The sequence below is a fragment of the Homo sapiens genome, chromosome 9 (genome assembly GCF_000001405.40).
Source record: "Homo sapiens chromosome 9, GRCh38.p14 Primary Assembly".
NCBI lineage: Eukaryota > Metazoa > Chordata > Mammalia > Primates > Hominidae > Homo > Homo sapiens.
Genome location: NC_000009.12, coordinates 127,422,665 through 127,445,935, shown reverse-complemented (window position 1 = coordinate 127,445,935; position 23,271 = coordinate 127,422,665). Strand labels below are relative to the sequence as shown.

General features: G+C 47.3%; 1 protein-coding gene across 6 annotated transcripts, besides 4 other annotated features; it reads right to left on the bottom strand.

The window, feature by feature from the left end:
• Nucleotides 1–563: 563 nt before the first annotated feature.
• ZNF79 (zinc finger protein 79) lies at nt 564–21,554 on the bottom strand. Of its 6 annotated transcripts, none has more exons than NM_001322260.2 (6): nt 21,026–21,554; nt 17,254–17,384; nt 17,016–17,104; nt 10,720–10,846; nt 9,933–10,028; nt 564–1,907 (listed from the first exon to the last, which is right to left on the bottom strand). In NM_001322260.2, exons 3-6 carry the CDS (start codon nt 17,046–17,048, stop codon nt 739–741), a joined length of 1,425 nt encoding a protein of 474 aa, NP_001309189.1. In that variant the 5' UTR covers nt 17,049–17,104; nt 17,254–17,384; nt 21,026–21,554; the 3' UTR covers nt 564–738. The 6 variants fall into 6 exon arrangements, with proteins under 6 accessions (NP_001309189.1, XP_006717342.1, NP_001273626.1 ...); XM_006717279.4 differs by having other exon boundaries at nt 17,276–17,384; NM_001286697.2 differs by having other exon boundaries at nt 17,276–17,384; nt 21,133–21,554.
• Nucleotides 21,236–21,585: an enhancer, noted in NCBI's record as "active region_29039". NCBI's record gives its function as "activates an Ori minimal core promoter by ATAC-STARR-seq in GM12878 lymphoblastoid cells {active_cell/tissue: GM12878}" and the evidence as "EXISTENCE:reporter gene assay evidence [ECO:0000049][PMID:35858748]".
• Nucleotides 21,236–22,467: a biological region, named in NCBI's record as "H3K27ac hESC enhancer GRCh37_chr9:130185748-130186690".
• Nucleotides 21,525–22,467: an enhancer, noted in NCBI's record as "H3K27ac hESC enhancer chr9:130185748-130186690 (GRCh37/hg19 assembly coordinates)". NCBI's record gives its function as "activates a minimal SCP1, AML or CMV promoter by ChIP-STARR-seq in naive H9 embryonic stem cells {active_cell/tissue: H9 hESC(naive)}" and the evidence as "EXISTENCE:reporter gene assay evidence [ECO:0000049][PMID:30033119]".
• Nucleotides 21,606–21,795: an enhancer, noted in NCBI's record as "active region_29038". NCBI's record gives its function as "activates an Ori minimal core promoter by ATAC-STARR-seq in GM12878 lymphoblastoid cells {active_cell/tissue: GM12878}" and the evidence as "EXISTENCE:reporter gene assay evidence [ECO:0000049][PMID:35858748]".

Genomic DNA, 23,271 nt, shown 5'->3' with positions numbered 1-23,271 from the left:
CTCCTGAGTAGCTGGGATTATAGGCACATGCCACCATACCGGGCAAGTTTTTGTATTTTTAGTAGAGATGGGGTTTCACCATGTTGGTCAGGCTGGTCTCAAACTCCTGACCTTGTGATCTGCCTGGGTGGGCTCTTAACAGCAACAAACTCTACAAAGACTGGCCCTGGGTGTGCTTTTCTCAGTTTTGGAACATCAAGGAATGTTCCCCACCTCAAGGAGATTGTGGTATTTCATAGGTGGCTCTAGAATCCCTTTTCTCACTTGTATTTACACCTCCTGCTGCCCCAAATTTGATGGTTTTTCAATCATTTCTGGCCAATGCGCTGAGTTCTTTCACAACATTTCTCATTACTTCCAGGAGAAACTGCCAGCATTGCCCAAAGACTTGGCTTTGATGTAGGAGCCAAGTTCTTTTACTCATTGATTTGGTCACTTACTCTGAATAAACTCAGGTTTCTGGATTGCTTACCAAATAAAGTGCTTTGGCCCACTACCTGAATAAAGGCAAACCTGCAATTGAGTGGAGCCCTGATCTTTTGATGGAGAGCTGAGCGTCCATATACAGCATGTGAAATAGTGGCTGTTTATTGAAGGTGTTTTGCATGTGGCTCTGGGCTGCAGACTCTAAGTTAGATGTCTTCAGATGCTTTCAAGCCTTTAGCATTTCTCAGATCCTCACCCACCTGTCCTGAGTCGGCATGTCCGGGACTCTCTCCACTTCTACCATGTTCCTAGTTACTCTCCGGCGTGGAGTCTCTGATGTCTAACGAAGGCAGAGCTGCACCGGAAGGCCTTCCCACACTCGCTGCATTCGTAGGGTTTCACGCCTGTGTGGATTCTCTGATGCTGACTAAGGGATGAGCTCTGGTTAAACGCTTTACCACACTCATTACACTCATAAGGTTTTTCTCCGGTGTGGATTATATGATGCCGAATGAGGGCTGAGCTCTCACTGAAGAATTTCCCACATTCATTACATTTATATGGCTTCTCCCCGGTGTGGGTCTTTTGGTGGATTATGAGATTGGTACTCTGGCTGAAGGCCTTCCCACACTCGCTGCACTTGTAGGGTTTCTCCCCAGTGTGAGTCCTCTGATGGTTTGTGAGGTTTGCACTCTGGCTGAAGGCCTTCCCACACGCGGCACATCTGTAGGGCTTCTCCCCGGTGTGAATCCTCTGGTGCTGAATGAACGCTGCGCAGTAACTGAAGGCCTTCCCACACTCGCTGCACTTGTAGGGCTTCTCCCCGGTGTGAGTCCTCTGATGGTTCGTGAGGTTTGCACTGTGACGGAAGGCCTTCCCACAGTCGCTGCATTCGTAGGGCTTCTCTCCGGTATGAATTCTCTGATGCTGAACAAGAGCTGAGCAGTCACTGAAGGCTTTCTCACACTCGCTGCATCTGTAGGGCTTCTCTCCGGTGTGGGTTCGCTGGTGTTTGGTGAGGTTGGCGTTCTGGCTGAAGGCTCTTCCACATTCACTGCACTTGTAAGGCTTCTCTCCAGTGTGAATCCTCTGGTGCTGAATGAGAGATGAGCTCTGGCTGAAGGCCTTCCCACATTCACTGCACTCATAGGGCTTCTCTCCAGTGTGGCTCTTCTGATGCTGAGAAAGGGAAGAACAGTAACTGAAGGCTTTGCCACATTCATTACATGCATATGGTTTTGCTCTGTGAGGTTTCAGGATTTCCGAGTTCTTGAAGCTCTCGGTGTGTGTCTCACATTTGCGAGGTCTCGCTTCCACGGGCACTCTCTGTTGCGGAGAGAGGACTGGTCTCAGATTGAAGCTCTTCTCAAGGTCACTGGTCCCGTGGTCTGAATCCCCAGGGGGCATCTCTACACATGGGTCTTGGAATGAAGCTTCAGAAAGGGCTTGCTCTGGTGGTGATCCAGATATAATCTTCCAGCCTGAAAAAAAAATGAAAAGCTGTTGTGTTCCCTTGGTGGAAGGAATACCAAAGGCTGAAGGAGTCTGGCCAAGCTCTTACACACACAGGTTTGATGACTCATCTCCTTTTTTTTTTTTTTTTTTTTTTGAGACGGAGTCTCGCTCTGTCGCCCAGGCTGGAGTGCAGTGGCACGATCTCAGCTCACTGCAACCTCCGCCTCCTGGGTTCACGCCATTCTCCTGCCTCAGCCTCCCGAGTAGCTGGGACTACAGTCTCCTGCCACCAGGCCCAGCTAATTTTTTGTATTTTTAGTAGAGACGGGGTTTCACCGTGTTAGCCAGGATAGTCTCGATTTCCTGACCTCGTGATCCACCCGCCTCGGCCTCCCAAAGTACTGGGATTACAGGCGTGAGCCACCGCGCCCAGCCACCTCCTTTCATAAGGGTGTAATGGAGCCTACTACCTACTGAATTCAAAGCCATCGTAATGTCATAGTGCAACACATTACTCACGTTTGTGGTGATGCTGGTGTAAATAAACTTACTGCGCTGCCAGTCATATGAAAGTACAGCACATAATACTTAATAAACAACTATGTTACCAGATTATATATTTACTATACTTAATATATATTTTTAATTGAGACAGAGTCTCACTCAGGCTGGAGGGCGGTGGCACAGTCACAGCTCACTGCAGCCTCAACCTCCTGGGCTCAAGCAATCCTGCCACCTCAGCCTCCTGAATAGCTGGAACTAAAGGAGCATACCACCATGCCTGGGTAATTTTGATATTTTGGAGAGGCTGGTCTCGAACTCCTGGACTCAAGCGACCCTCCTGCCTCAGCCTCCCAAAGTGCTGGGGATTATAGGTGTGAGCCACCACACCCAGCCTATACTATGCTTTTAATAGTTATTTTACACTGTACTCCTTCCACTACAACAAAGTTATCTGTAAAACAGCCTCAGGCGGGTCCTTCAGGAGGTTTTCCAGAAGGCATTGTTATCTTAGAGATGACAGCTTCGTGCTTGTTATTGCCCCTGAAGATCTTCCAGTTGGACAAGATGTGGAGGTGGAGACAGTGATACGCATGATCCTGTTAGGTCTAGGCTAATGTGTGAGTTTCTTAGTTTTTAACAAGAGTTTAAAAAGTAAAAAATAGTGCCACACACACACACACACACAGATTTTGAGACAGGATCTCACTGTCACCCAGGCTGAAGCATGGTGGCACGATCATGGCTCACTGCAGCCTCGACCTCCTGGGCTCAATTGATCCTCCCACCTCAGCCTCTGAGCAGCTGGGACTACAGGCCCATGCTACCACATCCAGCTAATTTTTGTATTTTTTGCTGAGATAGGGTTTTGCCAAGTTGCCTGGGCTGGTCTCAAACTCCTGGGCTCAAGGGATCCTCCGCCTCAGCCTCCCAAAGAAAAATGTGTAAAGTAAACTTAGTGTAGCCTAAGTGCACAGTGTTTCTAAAGTCTATGTACAGCAATGCCCTCGGCCTTCACATCCATCTACCACTTACCCACTCACCCAGAGTCCTGCAAGCTCCACTCATGGTAAGTGCCCTATACAGGTGTACCATTTTTTATCTTTTATACTGTATTTTTACCATACCTTTTCTTTTCTTTTTTTTTTTTTTGAGATGGAGTTTCACTCTTGTTGCCCAGGCTGGAGTGCAATGGTGCTATCTTGGCTCACTGCAACCTTCGCCTCCTGAGTTCAAGCAATTCTCCTGCCTCAGCCTCCCAAGTGGCTGGGATTACAGGTGCCCGCCACCATGCCTGGCTAATTTTTGTATTTTTGGTAAAGACAGGGTTTCACCATGTTGGCCAGGCTGATCTTAAACTCCTGACCTCAGGTGATCCACTCACCTCGGCCTCCCAAAGTGCTGGAAATACAGGCATGAGCTAGCACACCCGGCCTAATATGGAGCTTCGCTCTTGCTGCCCAGGCTGGAGTGCAATAGTGTGATCTCAGCTCACTGCAACCTCCACCTCCTGGGTTCAAGCAATTTTCCTGCCTCAGCCTCCCAAGTAGCTAGGATTACAGGCATGCGCCACCACACCCGGCTAATTTTGTATTTTTTTTTTTTTTTTGAGACGGAGTCTCACTCTGTCACCCAGGCTGGAGTGCAGTGGCACAATCTCGGCTCACTGCAAGCTCTGCCTCCCGGGTTCATGCCATTCTCCTGCCTCAGCCTCCCAAGTAGCTGGGATTACAGGCTCCCGCCACCACGCCCGGCTAATTTTTTGGATTTTTAGTAGAGACAGGGTTTTACCGTGTTAGCCAGGATGGTCTCGATCTTCTGACCTTGTGATCTGCCTGCCTCGGCCTCCCAAAGTGCTGGGATTACAGGCATGAGCCACCGCACCCAGCCAATTTTGTATTTTTAGTAGAGATGGGGTTTCAACATGTTGGTCAGGCTGGTCTCGAACTCCTGACCTCAGGTGATTCACCTACCTCAGACTCCCAAAGTGCTCGGATTACAGGTGTGAGCCACCACGCCCAACTGTTTCCTTGAATTTCTATACACAGTCTTCAACCAGACTGGCTGGGTTCAAATCTGGGCTCCACCTCTTACGTGCTCTGTGACTTTGGGAAAATTGTGTAATCTTTTGAAACCTTGGATTTATCACCTGTGAAAGCAGCTCCCTCACAGAATCACTGTGAGGATTAAATGAGTTAAGACACATAAAGGACCCAGAATGGTAGTTGAGACACAGTAAGTGCTATCTGCATGGTTCTTGTTATTCTGTACCTTCTCCTTATAAACCATCCTAAAGCATTAAGTAGGCTTCCCTCAGAACTGCAAGTGCACACCAATGCCCCCAGTCCACCAAGAGCACAGAGGCCCCACTGCAGGCTGAGAGCGTCTCTGTGTAACTTGGGGTCCGATCATCTATGGGTTTGACAGTTTTTAAAAGCAGACCATCTATTTGAGTAAAAAAAAATCAAAAGGAGAGGAAGAGTGACAAGAAGCCATGGGAAGAAGGGGCAATTCAGAGGACCACATGATGCTCACAAATGGCCTGTCCCTCAGCTCACCTCTCTCGAGTGCTGGCTCCAGTAGAAGACTGTCTGATGACATCTCAGGCCTGACACACCCCAAACAGAGCTACTGATCTCCCTTTTAACCCAGCGCCTTTGTTAATCTTCCTACTTACCCAACTGTTCAGGCCAAAACCTAGGGTCATCCTTAATGCCACCTCCCCTACATCTCACATCCAATCCACCAGCAAGTCCTGTTGGCTTTAACACCAAAATATGTCCTGACCCCTCTCTTACAGGCCACCATCACCTCACATTCCCATGTCTGCAAGAGCCGCCTCCTAACTGACCTCCCCGCTCCCATGCCTGAGCCTCGAATGTCCATTCTTCACACATAACGCTGAATTCTTTTTCATTTTTTTCACCAGTGTCACTTGCCAAATGCTGAACTCTTTTCAAACATAAATCTCATCCCTTCCCTGCATCAAAACTCTTTAATGGCTTATTTTCTTAGGTGACTAAAACCCAAACGCCTTACCATGGCTCCAGTGGCCCCACACAATCTGTCCCCTGCACACCACTCTTCCTCGTGTTTACTAAGCTCTGGCCACACAGGTCTTCTAATCCTTAAGCAAGCTCATTCCCACATTAAGGTCTCAACATACGCTGTGGCCCAGAATGTTCCTCTCCTAGGTCTCCTCCAAACAGCTGGCTCATCCCCTTCCTTCAGATCTCAGCTCCCATGTCACCTCCAAAGAGTCTTTCCTCTTCATCAGCTCCCAAACAGCTCCCTCCCTTCTATTCCCGACTCAGCCTTGTGCCCCAGTCACTAATCCCTTGCGCAGCTTTATTTTCTTCACACAACTCATCACCATAAAAAGTAGATTAGTGGGCCGGGCGCGGTGGCTCATGCCTGTAATCCCAGCACTTTGGGAGGCCGAGGCAGGCAGATCACGAGGTCAGGAGATCGAGACCATCCTGGCTAACACGGTGAAACCCCGTCTCTACTAAAAATCCAAAAAATTAGCCGGGCGTGGTGGTGGGTGCCTGTAGTCCCAGCTACTCGGGAGGCTGGGGCAGGAGAATGGCATGAACCCGGGAGGTGGAGCTTGCAGTGAACTGAGATCGCGCCACTGCACTCCAGCCTGGGAGACAGAATGAGACTCCGTCTCAAGAAAAAAAAAGTAGATTAGTTATTGTTTGCTCAGTTTATGTCCTTCACGAAGATGTAAGCAGAAACTACGTCTTCATCCCCACTCAACAAAGGGAATACATATTACCCATGGCAGCTAAAATGATGCCAGGTATGTACCAAATGCTTAAGGCACATTTGCTGATTGATGAATGATTCAATGAATCAGAATGAGTAGAACTGGCCAGCAGGGTCTGCGAAAGTGTTAACACCCACCACAGAAGTCCCTAAAGTGAGCAGCAGGGAGAATGGCACTTTCAACTCCTGGGTCTGTCACTTGGGAGGGGTAGGGTAGAATAACCCAGGGCCCAAACCCAGCCCTCAGAGGCACAGTGATGCCCAGGACATGCTGTGAGTTAGAACAGAGGCCATGTTGAACTCCTCTAATAGCTAGAGTGGAAACTTGCCCCTGACGACTTCTGTTCACTATCATATAGCTTATATAACTCTACAGTTGACAATTTTTTTCAGATATATGTTAATTGGTGAAATAAGAAAGATTTTATCATCTACATTTTTCATATATGGAAACATGACTACATAATTCAGTGGTGTGCCTGGAATCCATGTAGTTAATGCATGGCAAGCAGGGATTATGTGTCTTTCATATTCACCGAGATATGAGATATACGTGTATATGTGTGTGTGTGCGCGTTGTGTGTGTGTGTGTGTGTGTGTGTATTTCACCCACAGTTCCTGGCTCATAACTCCCATAGCCACTGCTACAGTCTTTCTTTTTCTTTTTTTTTGTGACAGAGTCTCGCTTAGTCGCCCAGGCTGGAGTGCAGTGGCACGATCTTGGCTCATGGCAGTCTCTGCCTCCCGGGTTCAAGCGATTCTCGTGCCTCAGCCTCCCTAGTAGCTGGGACTATAGATATGTGCTACCATGCCCAGCTAATTTTTGTATTTTTAGTACAGATGGAGTTTCCCTATGTTGGCCAGGCTGGTCTCAAAACTCCTGACCTCGGGTGATCTGCCCAACTCGGCCTCCCAAAGTGCTAGGATTACAAGCGTGAGCCACTGCGCCCAGCCATTGCTACAGTCTTTTGTTAAAACGTAAGAGCACTTTAGGCCTCAGAAACAGAATCTCTCTCTCTGACCTCCCCCTGCCCTTCTTTCACCTGCCCGAGCAGGACTCTAATGTGATTGTGGGCCTTACGACCCCCATTTCAGAGAAGATCCTGCCCCATACCCTGGAGGAAGGAATGCTGCACAGAGGCCAGGAAGAATCCGCACGGACAGGCTCTGCCAGGTGTCCTCACTCAGTCTACAGTGTTCAGTCAGACCCTTTCTGTCCAATCTCATCTCAACATGCTGTCCGTGTTTCAATCACGCCTATCCAATGAATCAAAGGCCCAGGAGGGCAGGGTTTAGAGAGCTTCCAGAGAGCTGAACACATGGAGGCTCCTGCAGGGCGGCGGCCCAGGGAAGGCATGAAAGCTCCCTGCACCTTCCCCACCCCTCGTCCCATGCATCTCTTCATCTTCATCTTTTCTAAAATAAGTGCTTCCCCAAGTTCTGTGTCCTTTCTCTAATAAATTAATGTAATCCAAAGGGGGGTCGTGGGAACCCCAATCTGAAGCCAGTGTAGTTCTGGAGGCCTGGACTTGCGACTGGTGGGAAGGGGCAGGGGGTGCCTTGTGGGACTGAGCCCTCAACTAGTGGGATCTGATGCTATCTCCAGGTAGACGGTGTCTGCTTGCTTGGTGTGTGGGGGAAAACCTCAGTCCTCTCTGCTGGCAGAAGCCTCCTATGTTGACTCCTGCTGTGCGTAAGGGCAGAGGTTGTGGTTTTCCGCTCAGGGGCACCCACACCAAGAGCTGCTTCTACTGCCCTACACTGCTGCCTCAGAGCACCTTCTTGGTGGAAATGCCCCTTTCCAACTCCTGTTTCTAACGATGTGGTGATTTTAACCTTTGGGGCCACTGTACTGGGGTGAACAGTGCCCCCACATCATGTCAACCTCAAAATACAGAATGTGTCTGTGCTTGGAAACAAGGTCTTTGTAGATGTAATCAAGCTAAAATGAGGCCACACTGGATTGGGGTATTTTAATGCCCTAAAAAGAAGGAAATCCAGACACAGATCGAGAATGCCACATGCTGACAGGGACAGAGATTGGCGTGATGCAGCTAAAAGCCAACAAATGCCGAAGATTGCGGGCAACCACCGGAAACTAGAAAGAGGCAAGGAAGATCCTTCCCAGAGCCTGCAGAGGGAGCCCAGGCCTGCTGACACCTCAGTTTCAGACCTCTAGCCTCCAGAACTGTGAGCGAATCAACTGCTATTGTTTTAGTCCACCCAGTTTGTGGTTATTTCTTATGAGAGCCCCAAAAAACTAATACAGCGACCTTTTCAGGGTCTTGAACCCCTCTGAGACTATGATGAACACTCTTCCCAGAAAAAGGCAGTTGTTCCCCTCGCCACTAAACACTGCTCTCAATTTCTGAAGCTCCACAGAGGACTTCAGTCCTCTGTATAGACTATATAGAACACAGAGATGCCCAGGCAGCGGGGGGGGGCCTTGAGAGAAGGAAGCAGCAGGGCCAGGGAGGCTCCCTGCCACAGGCAGTGTCAACAAGCATGAGTAGTGCCAGGCACACCATGAGGGGGAGGTAACATGCAACAGTCTGCTTAGAGGATGGTAAGATGGGAAGGAGAAGAGGCAGCTCCAGGGAACCATGCAAAGAATGCTCCAGGGGCTTGTGCCCATTGCCCTATCAGCAGCAATAACTTATAACTCAAGAAATAAAGCAACAAACAGACAGGTTGCATCTTCTTTTTTTTTTTTTTTTTTTTTAAGACAGAGTTTCACTCTTGTCACCCAGGCTGGAGTGCAATGGCACAATCTCGGCTCACTGCAACCTCTGCCTCCCAGGTTCAAGTGATTCTCCTGCCTCAGCCTCCTGAAGTAGCTGGCATTACATGTGCCCGCCACCACGCCCAGCTGATTTTTTTGTATTTTTAGTTGAGATGGGGTTTTACCATGTTGGCCAGGCTGGTCTTGAACTCCTAACCTCAGGTGATCCACCTGCCTCGGCCTCCCCAAGTGCTGGGATTACAGGCGTGAGCCACTGCACCTGGCCCAGGCTGCATCTTTAGAAACATGTCAAATGTTGTCACCTCAAAGTGGTTTAATTCATTTGTACCTTTGATGTCTTAAGTCTCAAACATTCAAAAGTGACTGGGTCCCCAGGGAAAAGCTGCTGAGGCCCTGCCAGAGGTGGCACCAAGGCAGAGGCTGAGAGAGATTAGGGGAGAGAGCAGCTGTACGTGGGTGGTAAGAGAGACGCAGTGGAAACTATGGTCTCCTTTCCTTCTGTTTTCCCTGAGTTTCTTAGTATCAGCCCTTTGGAAAATTCTGGCATGGCCACGCAGTGAGAAAGCAGGAGCAGAATGAATTAAGGGGCCAGATGGGGTGGCAGCAGGAACTGTGACACCCAGTGGCATGGGTAAAGGTGGCACCTAGGATCCTCAGTGAGGGAGACCCCAAGCAGGGAATGTGCCAGCAAAGATGACTCTTGCTTCCCAACAATAAGGAAGGATACTCTTTAGAGGCCAGGAACATCACACGTGCCCCCAAACACCTCCTGGCCCTGGCAGCCTCCATAAGGATGAGGTGAGGAAGAGTGTGTTTTAGAGGCAGACAGAGCTTGCTTCAAATCCCAGCCTTGCCACTATCTAGCTGTGAAGCTTTGAACCAGTGAGCCAGCCTTTCTCAGCTCCATTTCCTCATCTGTAGAATGGGGGTAATAGCGCCTACCTCACAGTTGTTATGATAATCAAATACACTCATGCGTGATTTAAAGGCGCTTTTGCTCCCAAGACTCCCACTGGCTAAGTGCTTGCTCACATACCTGGAGAGGGACTTCGCAGGTCTTCGCCCTCCAGCATCCATGCGCCTTCCCTTTGTTCCAACTGGGAGTTCATGCCAGGCTGGGAAACTGGAAGTCCTATTCAACGGGAAAAAACAGGCTTTAGAAATTGTAAGTAAGTATGAACAGCCACCCAGAACTCAGGAGAGAGCAAGTAGGCCAGTTGGACTGTTCATTTCATTCAGCCAACAAATCCTTATTGAGCTCTTACTTAGTGCCTACACCAGGGGCTATAGCAGTACATAAGAGACATGGTGCCAAGGTCTTTTTAAACATCCTTTTAATTTTAGAGGCAGGGTCTCACTGTGTTCCTCAGGCTGGTCTCAGGTGACTGTTCCACCTTGGCCTCCCAAAATGCTGGGATTACAGGTGTGAGCCACCTCACCCAGCCATGCCAAGGCTACATAAAACGTTTCTGGAAGGAGCTAGGAAACAGCCTCAAGGAGGGGTCAAGCCAGGGAGCTAAGCTAAACTCCCAAGTCCCCAATTTAGGAAGATGGAAACGTACTGAACATAGAGGAAATGACCTGAGGGTTACCCCACCCCTCCTGCGAAATGAGAGAATGGGGAGGTGCAGCCTTAGAGAAAGCAAAGGGAAACTGCCTATTTGCCAAGTGAGCATGCAGAGACCTTCCCCAAGAGAACAAGAGGAATAAACACCATCCCTCTGGTACATCACACCAGTCAGAAACCCCTACATGCTGGAAAGCAAGTGCCACAGATTTTCAGAATTGAGTGATTCTAAATCTTAAAGAAACAGTTTCCTTACCTAGTAGGACAAGGCTCCTGGACTTTCCTGGTATCCCCTCCTTGAACCTGTCCCGTGGAGTAGACACGAGGCACCTCCACCTTTCCTGTGCAAAAGCTACCGTCACACTGCTGAAGAATGTGGATCCCTGAAAAAACAAGCACATTTCATCTTGCCAGTGGCCTTAGGATCTAGGGTGATAGGGGTGGTTAACGTTGGCAGTTTTGGGGGAGCTGGAAAAGTCTTTGAAAAGATTCAGGTCTCTGGGTAGTTGAAGAAAATGGCCAGGTGCGGTGGCTCACGCCTGTACTCCCAGCGCCTTGGGAGGCCAAGAGGTGAGGCAGGCGGATCACTTGAGGCCAGGAGTTCAAGACCAGCCTGGCCAACACGGCAAAACCCTGTCTCTACTAAAAATACAAAAATTAGTTGGGCGTGGTGGTGCGTGCCTGTAATCCCAGCTTCTCAGGAGGCTGAGGCAGAAGAATTGCTTGAACCCGGGAGGCAGAGGTTGCAGTGAGCCGAGATCACGCCACTGCACTCCAGCCTGTGTGACACGGCAAGACTCTGTCTCAAAAAACGGAGAAAGCATTTATTGATCACCAGCATTGCAGTGCCTAACACTATGATAATTTCACACATACACACACACACACCACTGTCTCTTGTCTTCACACATTTATGTATAAATAGACTTTATGTATAAATAGAGCGTGTGTATGCGTGTGAAGTAACTGGGCAAAAATTAATGGGTGCTTGGGACTTGAAGAGGTAATATAGAAAGAGCGAAATTAGAATGTGAGTTGATACAGTGAAGAATCAGGTACAAATTATCAAAGAAATGTGAAAGATGAATTTTCAGAACATTTAACAAATATTTCTGTGAATGCAGATATCACCCAGTACAGCAGGAGAGCCAGGTATGAGCACAATCAAATGTAGCACAAGTCAAAGAAACACAGACTAGTTGCCAGGAGAACAGGAAGGCGGGGAGGGAGGACCACAGAGAGAAGGCAATTACTGAGCTGGCCTTGAAGGAGAAGGTTCGCGGATGGAGCAAGAGAAGGCTATCCAAGGCAGGAGAGGCACCATGAGCAGAAGCATGGAGGTGACACAGTCCTCGTGTGTTTAGGAAATGGCAGGCAGTTTGGGTGGGGGGATGAAGAGTGGTAGAAAGGTTGTTGAGGTCAGAATGTAAAAAGCCTTGAATCACTTGATAAATGTGATGCTTTTATCCCTCAGGCAACAGGGAGCCGCTGGAAGGCAACTGTGTCTTGAGATGGAGGCATGGAGAGGTGGTTTTAAGGACTCCAACAGTGTCAGTGTCAAGTTGAGAGAGGATCCTGCTTGAGGAGAGGGACTAGATGCAAGGCCAGAAATGAACTTTGTGAGAGAAGAGCTGAGAATGAATCAAAGATGTTTCCTGCTTGGAAGAGCAGACAGATGACAGTGTCATCACAAAGAGAAGAAACATGGGAAGAAAGGGTCTGTTAGCAAGGTAACTAGTTTGTTTTGGGGCCCACAGAGTTTAAGGTGGCCATAGGAAATCCAGGTGTAGATGTTCTATCACAGGTGAAAACACGGATCTGGAGTTAGGAGACTCTGGGCAGGAGCTGTAAGGCACACAGGTCAGCTAAAGCTGTTCATGTAACAAAGCGGCACCTACTCTGTGTAATGCATCCTCTGCTAGGTACAGGGCGGGAGGACAAGGGTAGCCAGATGGAAAGGGAAGAAATGAATCAGGAGATAACACACGGTATTAACCTAAGGCAGAAATCATTTCCTGGTCAGGCCCCACAGGAACCTCAAACTCAACAAAATGCAACAGAGAAACCCATCTTCACCTGCTGTTCCTTGTCTGTTCCCAGCTCAGGGAATGGGGCCTCTGTTCACCTAGCTGGCCAAGCCAGCAACCTGGGTGTTATCCTCTCCTTTCCCGCAGCATCAATCCCCATTGATTCTTCCTCCTAATATCATGAGAATTCATTCACCCGATTATTTCCACTCCCCTACCACTGCTTTGCAAACCAGCAACAATTTCCATATTGGAACCAGTCTCCAGGCCTCTGATTTTACCTGCTCTTCCAATCCATTCATTACACCGAGAGGTACATTCAGTGGAACAAAGAGGGTCATCTTTTAAAACAAAGAAATATCTATGCCAGGCACGATGGCTCATGCCTGTAATCCCAGCACTTTGGGAGGCCAAAGCAGGTGGATCACCTGCGGTCAGGAGTTCAAGACCACCCTGGCCAACATGGTGAAACCCCATCTCTACTAAAAATACAAAAAACTAAAAAATATTTAAAATCTTTGTGTAACTTCAAAATAATCAGGAAAGTAATATCCATTATAAAGATATAAATGTCATGAACCAAATAACAAAAATATATAATACGTAAAGAAAAAGCTGCAGGAAATGCAAAGAGAAATTTAGAATATTAGGGTTTTGAGAGATGTTAAAATAACCCAGTCATTGACAGTCAGCCCAAAGTGAATAAACAACAAAAAGAATAAAGATATGGAAGATGGAGCAATTTAATAAGGCTGAGCTGACAGAGCTATCAAACCCTATACCCTGCAATCAGACTGTGCTGGCATTTTTTGTTGACAAGAGACACAAACTCCATCCTCATAAAGCACAGACCAGCCAAATGGGCAGATAAAGAAAGCAAAATAATAATTTTAGAATACCTAAAAAAAAAAAAAATACATAGCCAAAAACTTTCAACGTAAACAAGGAAGAAGGTGAGTTAAGGATTCAACTCAAGAAGTTAAAAAATGAATTTTAGGCCGGGCGTGGTGGCTCACGCCTGTAATCCCAGCACTTTGGGAGGCCGAGGCGGGTGGATCACCTGAGGTCAGGAGATCGAGACCATCCTGGCTAACATGGTGAAACCCTGTCTCTACTAAAAATACAAAAAAATTAGCCGGGTGTGGTGGCGGACGCCTGTATTCCCAGCTACTCGGGAGGCTGAGGCAGCAGAATGGCATGAACCCGGGAGGCGGAGCTTGCAGTGAGCCGACATCGCGCCACTGCACTCCAGCCTGGGCGACAGTCAGACTCCATCAAAAAAAAAAAAAAAAAATTTAAAAATAAACCTGAGGAAAGCAGAAGCAAAAGATTAATAAAGAAAAAAATGTATTAATAAAGAACAGAACTGACAAGGAAATCCAAGAGCAAATTTTAAAAATGAAAATAAATAGCTAATTACCTAGTCAAGAAAAAAGGACAGTTCCTACTCTCATAGGACTACGTGAAACAAACAATGTGTTAGAGAGCACAGCACTGGGACAAAAACAGACACATAGACCCAGAAAGGAGAACCCGGAAATAAAGTTGCACACCTCTAACCACCTGATCTTCAACAAAGCCCACAGAAACAAGCAATGGGAAAAAGACTCCCTACTCAATCAATGATGCTGGGATAGCTGGCTAGCCATATGCAGAAGAGTGAAACTGGGCCCCTACCTTTCACCATCGACAAAAATTAACTCAAGATAGATTAAAGATTTAAATGTAAATCCTTAAACTATAAAAACCATAGGAGAAAACCAAGGAAATACCCTTCTTGACCTTGGTTCTGGCAAAGAATCCTTGGCTTAAGTCCTCAAAAGCAATTGCAACAAAAACAAAAACTGACAAGTGGGACCTGACTAAAAAGCTTCTATACAGCAAAAGAAACTATTAGGGTCAGGCACAGTGGCTCACACTTGTAATCTTAGCACTTTGGAAGGCCAAGGCAGGAGGATCGCCTGACGTTAGGAGTTCAAGAACAGCCTAGCCAAAAAGGAAAAACCCCGTCTCTACTAAAAATACAAAAATTAGCCGGGTCTGGTGGTAATCCCAGCTACTCAGGAGGCTGAGGCACGAGAATCGCTTGAGCATTGGGGGGGTGGAGGCTGCAGTGAGCTGAGATTGTGCCACTGCACTCCAGACTGGGTGACAGAGTGAGACTCTGTCTCTAAAAAAAAAAAAAAGAAAAGAAAAAGAAACTATCAACAGACTCAATACACAACTGACAGAATAGGAAAAGATAATCAAAAGTTTGCAACTGACAAAAGTCTAATATCCAGAATCTATAAGGAACTTAAAGCAAGAAACAAAAAACAAATAACCACGTTAAAAAGCAGGCAAAAGACATGAGCAGACACACTTAAGAGACATACAAGTGGCCAAAAAAGAGACGAAAAAAATGCTCATCATCACTAATCACCAGAGAAATGCAAATCAAAACCATGACGAGATATTCTCTCACACCAGAAATAATGGCTAATATGACAAAGTAAAAAATAACAGATGCTGGCGAGGCTGCAGAGAAAAGGGAAAGGTTATCACTGCTGATGGCAAAGTTAACTAAATTAGTTCAGTCACTCCGGAAAAACAGTTTGGAGATTTCTCAAAAAACTTAAAACAGAGCTACCATTCGACCCGGCAATCCCATTACTGTGTAAATACTCAAAGGAAAAGAAATCATTCTACCAAAAGACGCATGCATGCGCTTGTTCCTCGTTGTGCTGTTCACAACAGCCAAGACATGCAGTCAACCCAGGTGCCTGCCAATGGTGGTCTAGATAAAGAAAATATACACGTGGAACAGGAAATACATGTGGAATACGATGCAGCCATAAAAAATGAAGTCATGTCCTTTGCAGTGACATGGATGCATCTGGAGTCCATTATCTTAAGTGAATTAATGCAGGAACAGAAAACCAAATACCGCATGTTCTTATTGATAAGTGGGGAAGCTAAATACCAAGTATATATGGACACAAAGATGGGAACAAAAACTGCTGGGGACTACTAGAGGGAGGAGAGAGGAAAGGGGGCATCAGCTGAAAAACTGCCTATGGGGTACTATGCTCCCTACCTGAGTGATGGTACATCATCTGTACCCCAAACCCTGGCATCATATAATACAACCATTTAACAACCCTGCACACATACCCCCGAATCTAAAATAGTAAGGTGAAATTATTTAAGAAAAAAAAATGTGTTAGAAATGATTTGGTAGAATATGCAGTGAAATGGGAGAATGTTCATCGAATTCTGGTAAGTGGAAATAAAAACATTACAGAGCAGAATACACCCACTTTGGGAAAAATATAGAAAAGAGAGAATATGACCTGGGCACAGTGGCTCACACCTATAGTTCCAGCACTTTGGGAGGCTGAGGCGGGTAGATCACTTGAGGTCAGGAGTTCCAGGCCAGCCTGGCCAACATGGTGAACCCCATCTCTACTAAAAATACAAAAATTAGCTGGGCGTGGTAGGGCGCACCTGTAATTCCAGCTACTTGGGAGGCTGAGGCAGGAGAATCGCTTGAACCTGGGAGGTGGAGGTTGCAGTGAGCCTAGATTGTGACACTGCACTCCGGCCTGGGTGACAGAGCAAGATTCCATCAAAAAAAAAAAAAAGGAAAAAGAAATAAAAGAGAGAATATGACTGAGGACACAAATCAAAATGTTAGGTGCCATCTTTTTGTGGGATTAAGAGTGATTTTTAACTTTTTGTGTTTTCTCTATTTTCCAGGTTTTCTGTGGGGAACATGAATTACTTTGTTCATTGCAGAAAACTTGTAAAAAACAAAACAAAACAAAACCAACAATGATGGGGTGGAGTGGCCCACACCTGTAATCCCAGCACTTTGGGAGGCAAAGGCTGGAGGATAGCTTGAGCCCAGGAGTTCAAGACCAGACTGGGCAACATGGCAAAACCCTGACTCTACAAAAGTTAAAAAAAAAAAAAAAAATTAGCTAGGCATGGTGGCACGAGCCTGTGGTCCCAGCTACTTGGGAGGCTGAGGTGGGAGGATTGCTTGAGCTCAGGAGGTTGAGGCTGCAGTGAGTCGTGATTTCACCACTGCGCTGCATTCTAGGTGACAGACTGAAGCCCTGTCTCAAAAAAAAAAAAATAATAAAACAGGCCAACCACAGTGGCTCACACCTGTAATACCAGCACTTTGGGAGGCCAAGTCGGGCAGATCAGTTGAGGTCAGGACCTCGAGACCAGCCTGGCCAACATGGTGAAACCCCATCTCTACTAAAAATACAAAAAAATTAGCTGGGTGTGGTGATGCGTGCCTGTAATCCCAGCTACCTGGGAGCTGAAGCAAGAGAATTGCTTGAACCCAGCATGTGGAGGTTGCAGTGAGCCAAGATCATGCCACTGCACTCCAGCCTGGGCGACAGAGTGAGACTCAGTCTCAAAAAATAAAGAAAGAAAGAAAACAAACAATGACAACAAAAAACAAGGCAACCCTACCATTAGTATTAGGGGGGAAGAAAAGGATGCCTTCCAAAGTTAATTTCCAACTTACCCGGGGCCCAGCTGTGAGGAGACCAGCAGCCATTCCTTCCTCTCCTGTGTTTTCCTCTTGGGGAAGGGCAGGGCCTGGGGAAGGCAGTACTAGAGAAAGAGAAAAAAACTAATAATGTTAAAAGCAGTTTATGAAGTCACCAGTTCTCACTGTGAAGAGGGGACATAGCAGGTATCAGGGCACGTGGGCTGAATCTGCAGACCTGTAGTGTGATGTAAATTTCTCCATTCCCTCCTACCTCAGAAATTCCATCAACTCACTCAGATGTAGGGAGGCATTAGAGTGTTCACAGACTCTCAAGTATCCATGATCCACCACTCAGCAGCAGTGTGCAAATCACGTAACCTCTCTAAGTCTCATTTTTCTCATCTGCAAAATGGGGATGATAAACCCTTGTAAGGGATAATCTGCTGTGAAGATTAAAGGAACATACAGATAAAGCAGTCGGCAAATGCCCAGCACATAAGTATACAGTTTAAAGAGATTATCTATTACTTAGTTCTTTGGAGAAAGTGACTCTGCAAATTTAAGGCATTTGCTTAAATGAAAAGAAGAGGGCTGGGCAGAGAGTCTCACTTCACACCATATATAAAAATTAACCCAAAATAGATCAGAGACCTAAAGTTAAGAAGTAACTCTTGGCTAGGTGCGGTGGCTTATGCCTGTAATCCCAGCAATTTGGGAGGCTGATGTGGGCAGACTGCTTGAGCCCAGGAGTTCGAGACCAGCCTGGGCAACATGGCGAGACCCCGTCTCTATTAAAAATACAAAAATTAGCCAGGCTTGGTAGCGCATACCCATAGCCCTAGCTACTTGGGGGACTGAGGTGGGAGGATCGCTTGAGCCAGGGAGGTCGAGGCTGCAGCAAGTTGTGATCACACCACTACACTGCAGCCTGGTTGACAGAGTGAGACACTATCTCAAAAAAAAAGAAAAAGGGGTAGAACTCTTAGAAGAAAACCATACATCTTTGAGAGGTTGGATTAGGCAATGATTTCTTAGATATGACACCAAAAGCACAAGCAGCAAAAGAGAAAATAGGTAAGTTGGATATCTTCAAAATTAAAAACTTTGTGCTCCAACAGGCTCTGTCAAGAAAGTGAAGAGGCTGAGTGAAAACGACTCACATCTATAATCACAGCACTTAGGGAGCCCAAGAGTTCGAGATCAGCCTGGGCAACATAATGAAACCCCATCTCTACTAAAAATACAAAAATTAGCCGTGGTGGCGCATGCCTGCAGGCCCAGCTACCTGGGAGGCTGAGGTGGAAAGATGGCTTGAGCCCAGGAGGCAGAGGTTGCAGTAACCTGAGATCACGCCATTACGCTCCAGCGTGGGCAACAAAGCAAGACTCTGCCTCAAAAAAAAAAAAAAAAAGAATTTAGTTATTGACTGGGTACAGTGGCTCACACCTCTAATCCCAGCACTTTGGGAGGCCGAAATGCTGGCGTAGCACATAATTTTCTGTGTGTATGTTTTGTGTTTTTTTTTTTTTTGAGACGGAGTTTCGCTTTTGTTGCCCAGACTAGAGTGCAATGGCACAATCTTGGCTCACTGCAACCTCCACCTCCCAGGTTCAAGCGATTCTCCTACCTCAGCCTCCCAAGTAGCTGGGATTACAGGCACGCACCACCACGCCCGGCTAACTTTTTTTTTTTTTTTTTTTAGTAGACGGGGTTTCACCACGTTGGCCAGGCTGGTCTCGAACTCCTGACCTCAAGTAATCTGCTTGCCTAGGCCTCCCAAAGTGCTGGGATTACAGGTGTGAGCCACTGTGCCTGGCCCTACTAAATTCTTAAATGGGCAAAAGATTTGAACAGATATTTCTCCAAGCAAGAGATACAAATAGCCACTCCCTACATGAAACTGAACATCATTAGTCATTGGGGAAAAGCAAATGAAAACCACAATGAGAGAACACATCACACCTACTAACATGACTATAATAAACAAGATGGAGAATAACAAGTGTTGATGAGGATGTAAGGAAACTGGAAACCTCATACACTGCTGAGAATAGAAAATGATGCCGCCACAGTGGAAAAAGTTCAGCAGTTCCTGTGAAAGTCAAAGAGGGTTGTATGACGCAGTAATTCCACTTCTAAGTATATGCCCAAGAGAAATCAAACATACACACACACAAAAATTCACTGAAGAATGGATACACAAAATGTGATCTCTCCATACAATGGAATATCATTCTACCACAAAAAGGGATGAAGTACTGACGCATGCTATAACCTGGATGAACCCTGAAAATGATGTGCTAAGCGAGACACAAAAGGTCACATATTGGCAGGTGGATTGCCTGAGGTCAGGCGTTCAAGACCAGCCTGGCCAACACAGTGAAACCCTGTGTCTACTAAAAATACAAAAAATTAGCTGGGTGTGGTGGCGGGTGCCTGTAATCCCAACTACTCGGGAGGCTGAGGCAGGAGAATCACTTGAACGCGGGAGGCGGAGGTTGCGGTGAGCTGAGATCGCACCATCGCACTCCAGCCTGGGCAACAAGAGCAAAACTCCGTCTCAAAAAAAAAAAAAAAAAAAGTCACATATTATGAGTCCACTTATTTGAAATGTCCTAGGCAAATCCATAGTGACAGAAAGCAGATTAGTGGTTGCCAGTGACTTGTGGAGAAATGAGGGACTGGGGAGTCACTGCTACAGGCTATGGGGTTTCTTCTTCAGATAACAAAAATGTTCTGGAATTAAATAGTGATGGTTGCAAGACTTTGTGAAAATACTAAAAACCACTGAATTGTTCACTTTAAAAGGGTGAATATTATGGTATGTGAATGATATCTGAATAAAATAAATAAATAGATCTGGATCCTGATCTTAGGACAGACCTTCTGTTACTGAGAGTTATCTAACCTGACAGCACTTCCTTTCCTGTTTTGCAGTATGGGGAAGATGACGACCCATCTGCTCTGCTTTCCCAGGTGTCTGGGGAAGATAACACAAAATACTGGATGTGAAATTGCACTCTCTACTCTTCAAGTGCAAGACCAAATATAAGGATCTCTTGGCCAGGAGCAGTGGCTCACGCCTGTAATCCCAGCACTTTGGGATGCCGAAGCCAGTGGATCACTTGAGGTCAGGAGTTTGAGGCCAGCTTGGCCAACATGGTGAAACCCCGTCTCTACTAAAAATACAAAAATTAGCTGGACTTGGTGTCGGGCACCTGTAGTCCCAGCTACTCAGGAGGCTGAGGCAGGAGAATCGCTTGAACCTGGGAGGCGGAGGTTGCAGTGAGCTGAGATTGCGCCACTGCACTCCAGCCTCGGCGACAGAGCGAGACTCTGTCTCAAAAACAAAACAAAACAAACAAAAAAAAACAAATACAAGGACCTCTTGATCTTGGGGACAGCACCAAATTCTGGATGTAAAATTGCACTTGTAGAGTAAAAGACCAAATACAGTTGATCTAGGGGTGAACAGCAGAGGTGTTGGTGGTTAAGACTTAAAAGAGGTTGCCTGCTTACACATTTGTTCTGTACCACATTCAGGGTGCTTTCAAAAGTGTTATTTCATTTGAGAATTACAATTCTCAGAGGTAAACAAAGTAGTTAACATTATTTTGTCCTTTCTTCCATGGAGAAATACAGGTTAAGAGACCTGGCTGGTACCTCACAGCTTTCACAAGAACCTGTGCCTTCTAACTGCAAATTCCCCTGTCCTCCACAACTTCACAATCCTACTGGGCTGGCCTGCCCCCAAACTTTCCCGGGCTTCCAGGCATTCCTGGCTGCTTCGAGAAGGGCTAGAAGGAGAAAAGTGACAGAGGAGTCCCCAGGAACCCACTTCTCCCTACTCTCCACTGTCATTGGTCCATCTGGGCAGACTGGGGTACGTGGTACAATACTCAGAAATCACGCAGTCTGAGGTCCTCAAACTTTTTTGACCCCCGAATTCTTTACTCAAAAAAGGACTGTAGGGGCACATGTTCTCAGGATCTCCTGGGGCTGTGTCATGGGCAAAGAAAGAAAAAATGATTGTCTCCAACTACCTGTAGGAGAGATAAAGAGAGTTCTGATTCGGCTCACACAGCGGCAGTCGTGGGCAAACGAAGCAGCAGCCGATCTCTTGACAATCGCTCCCTCTACCACTCCTCACCTCCTTCCTCCAGCATTTGAGTCCCGCCTCGCGCCACAGCCTCCCAGCAGTTCTCTGGGCGTAAGGGTCTATCTACAGCAGCCCCCACCCCGTTCTGCAGGGCTGCTCTGACGGCTCCCAGGCCGGACTCTTCCTCTCCAGCCTCTCCCCGCAGAGGCACGGTCTGATCCTGCGGTGCTGGGTCGCGGGAGCTGTCCGGGCCTGCCCAGCCGGGTGTTCCACTCCGTCTCCCGAGTCACAGCCACTCTTTGGCTCGGCCTCAAGCAGAACCCGGTGAAAAAGCCGCTGCCAGCTTTCCGAAAAACGACTGGCAACTGGCAACTGGCAACAATCTACCGGCAACCGCGAGAGCTCAAGAACCGCTGTCCAAGTACCGCCCAACGCCAGGTCCTGGCTCCAGCGCCAGAGGGACGCGCCTGATTGGCGCCACTTCCGGTCATGCGCACATGCCCCGCGGCGGCCACACCGGACTCCATTTCCCAGAAGTCGCCGCGGGGCTCTGTTTCTGGCCAAAGTCTTTTTCATTCCTGCAGCCCGGTTTATGATACACACACGCTCAGGGATTGTACTTCCCAGAGAGGCTTCCGCCTGTGCTTGCTCCCGGAATCTATTATCCATCGTGCTTTTTTGTTGCACACGTCTTTAAAGTCCACCAGAATCCAACGAAATGGAGCCTCGAGGAAAAGAAGAGATTTAGCCGCGAAGGATTCTGGGAATGCTGGGCTTACAGGGGCGCCGATCTTCGCTGGCGCTAGGCGCTTGGTTTCCTCTCCGCAGCTCTCTGCGCACGGTACGCCTGTCCCTCGTTGGCCTTCCACTCAGGGCAATCACCAGCCACTCTCAGGGTCCTCTTGAGCCGTACTAAAAGTTTGGGAAGACTAAAGGAAATCAGAAGTCCCTCAGTCTGAACAGGACAGCCGTGAGTGGGTGGCCTGGGACCCTCAAAGTATAAAAACCTATCGGCCGGCGGGAACTGCTTCAGTCATTTCAGGGGCAGTGTTTGATCAGCACTTCTGCGGGAGGAGATTCCTGAATCCTGTGTTCCTTAAGGGCTTCCCTGCTGCAGGCTGGGGATGTTTCAATGGACTTTCCCTCGAGCCCTTTGGAAATTACTTCTTAAGCAATTTTTCGATGATCAGCTCCTTTTTATAGGCATTTTGTCGTTAAGGGGAGGGGACTGGGTTACCCAGGAAATAAGTGAGTATGGGGATTCTAAGGCTCCTTTTCATTTTGTCTTGTCTCTTTCCCTTTCAATCACAGCCGGTGGCATTTTTGCCAGTGTAAGTTTCTTAATTTTGTGGGTCTTCCTATGAATCTTAATGGGATTGGCTCCATCGGAGAAGCCACACTCACAAATGTCTTTGAGCTAGCCCTTCTCTATATTGGGCAGCTGTAGTTTGGGGCTTACAGTTTTGTAAGAAGTCTGAAGTGGGTCTCACTGGGCTAAAATCAAGGTGTCGACAGTGCTGCATTCCTTCTGGAGGTTCCAGGGGAGAATCTTTTCTTGCCTTTTCCAACTTCCAGAGGCTGCCTGCATCCTTGACTCGCAGCCCCTTCTTCCAACTTCAAAGTAGCAACCTCAGCCAGAGTCCGTCCATTGCTGCCCTCTGTATGGTTCTCTCTCCTCCGCAGCCCTCTTCCACTTTTAAGGACCCTCATGGTTAACACTGGGCTCACCCAGCTAATTGAGGAGAATCGTTAAGGCCAGCTGATTAGCAACCTTAATTCCATTTGCAATTTTATTCCCTTTTGTCATGTAACCTAACATATTCAGAGGTTCCGGGGATTAGGACATGTATATCTTTGGGGGGTGGTATTCTGCTGACCACAGCAGGATTAGAAAACCAGATGGAAGTGAATGGATACCGGGAATCTAGGATCCAGCTGGCTGTCAGGCTGGCAGAGGTATCCCAGACCTGTCAGCTCTCAGGAAAGCTGCATCCAGAGTGCTTTTTGGATCACTGGGGGATACCTGGCCTCACTCTAGACTCACTGCCGTGGTCGTTTCAGAATTGAATCCGTGATCAGGAAATGTTCCCAGTGTTGCTAATGTACTCCTCCCACACTTGAGAGTCCTGAATCCCATCTCCTGAGAAGAGGCGTTGGGCTCAAGTGGCTAGAGAGAAGTTTCTTGTCAGA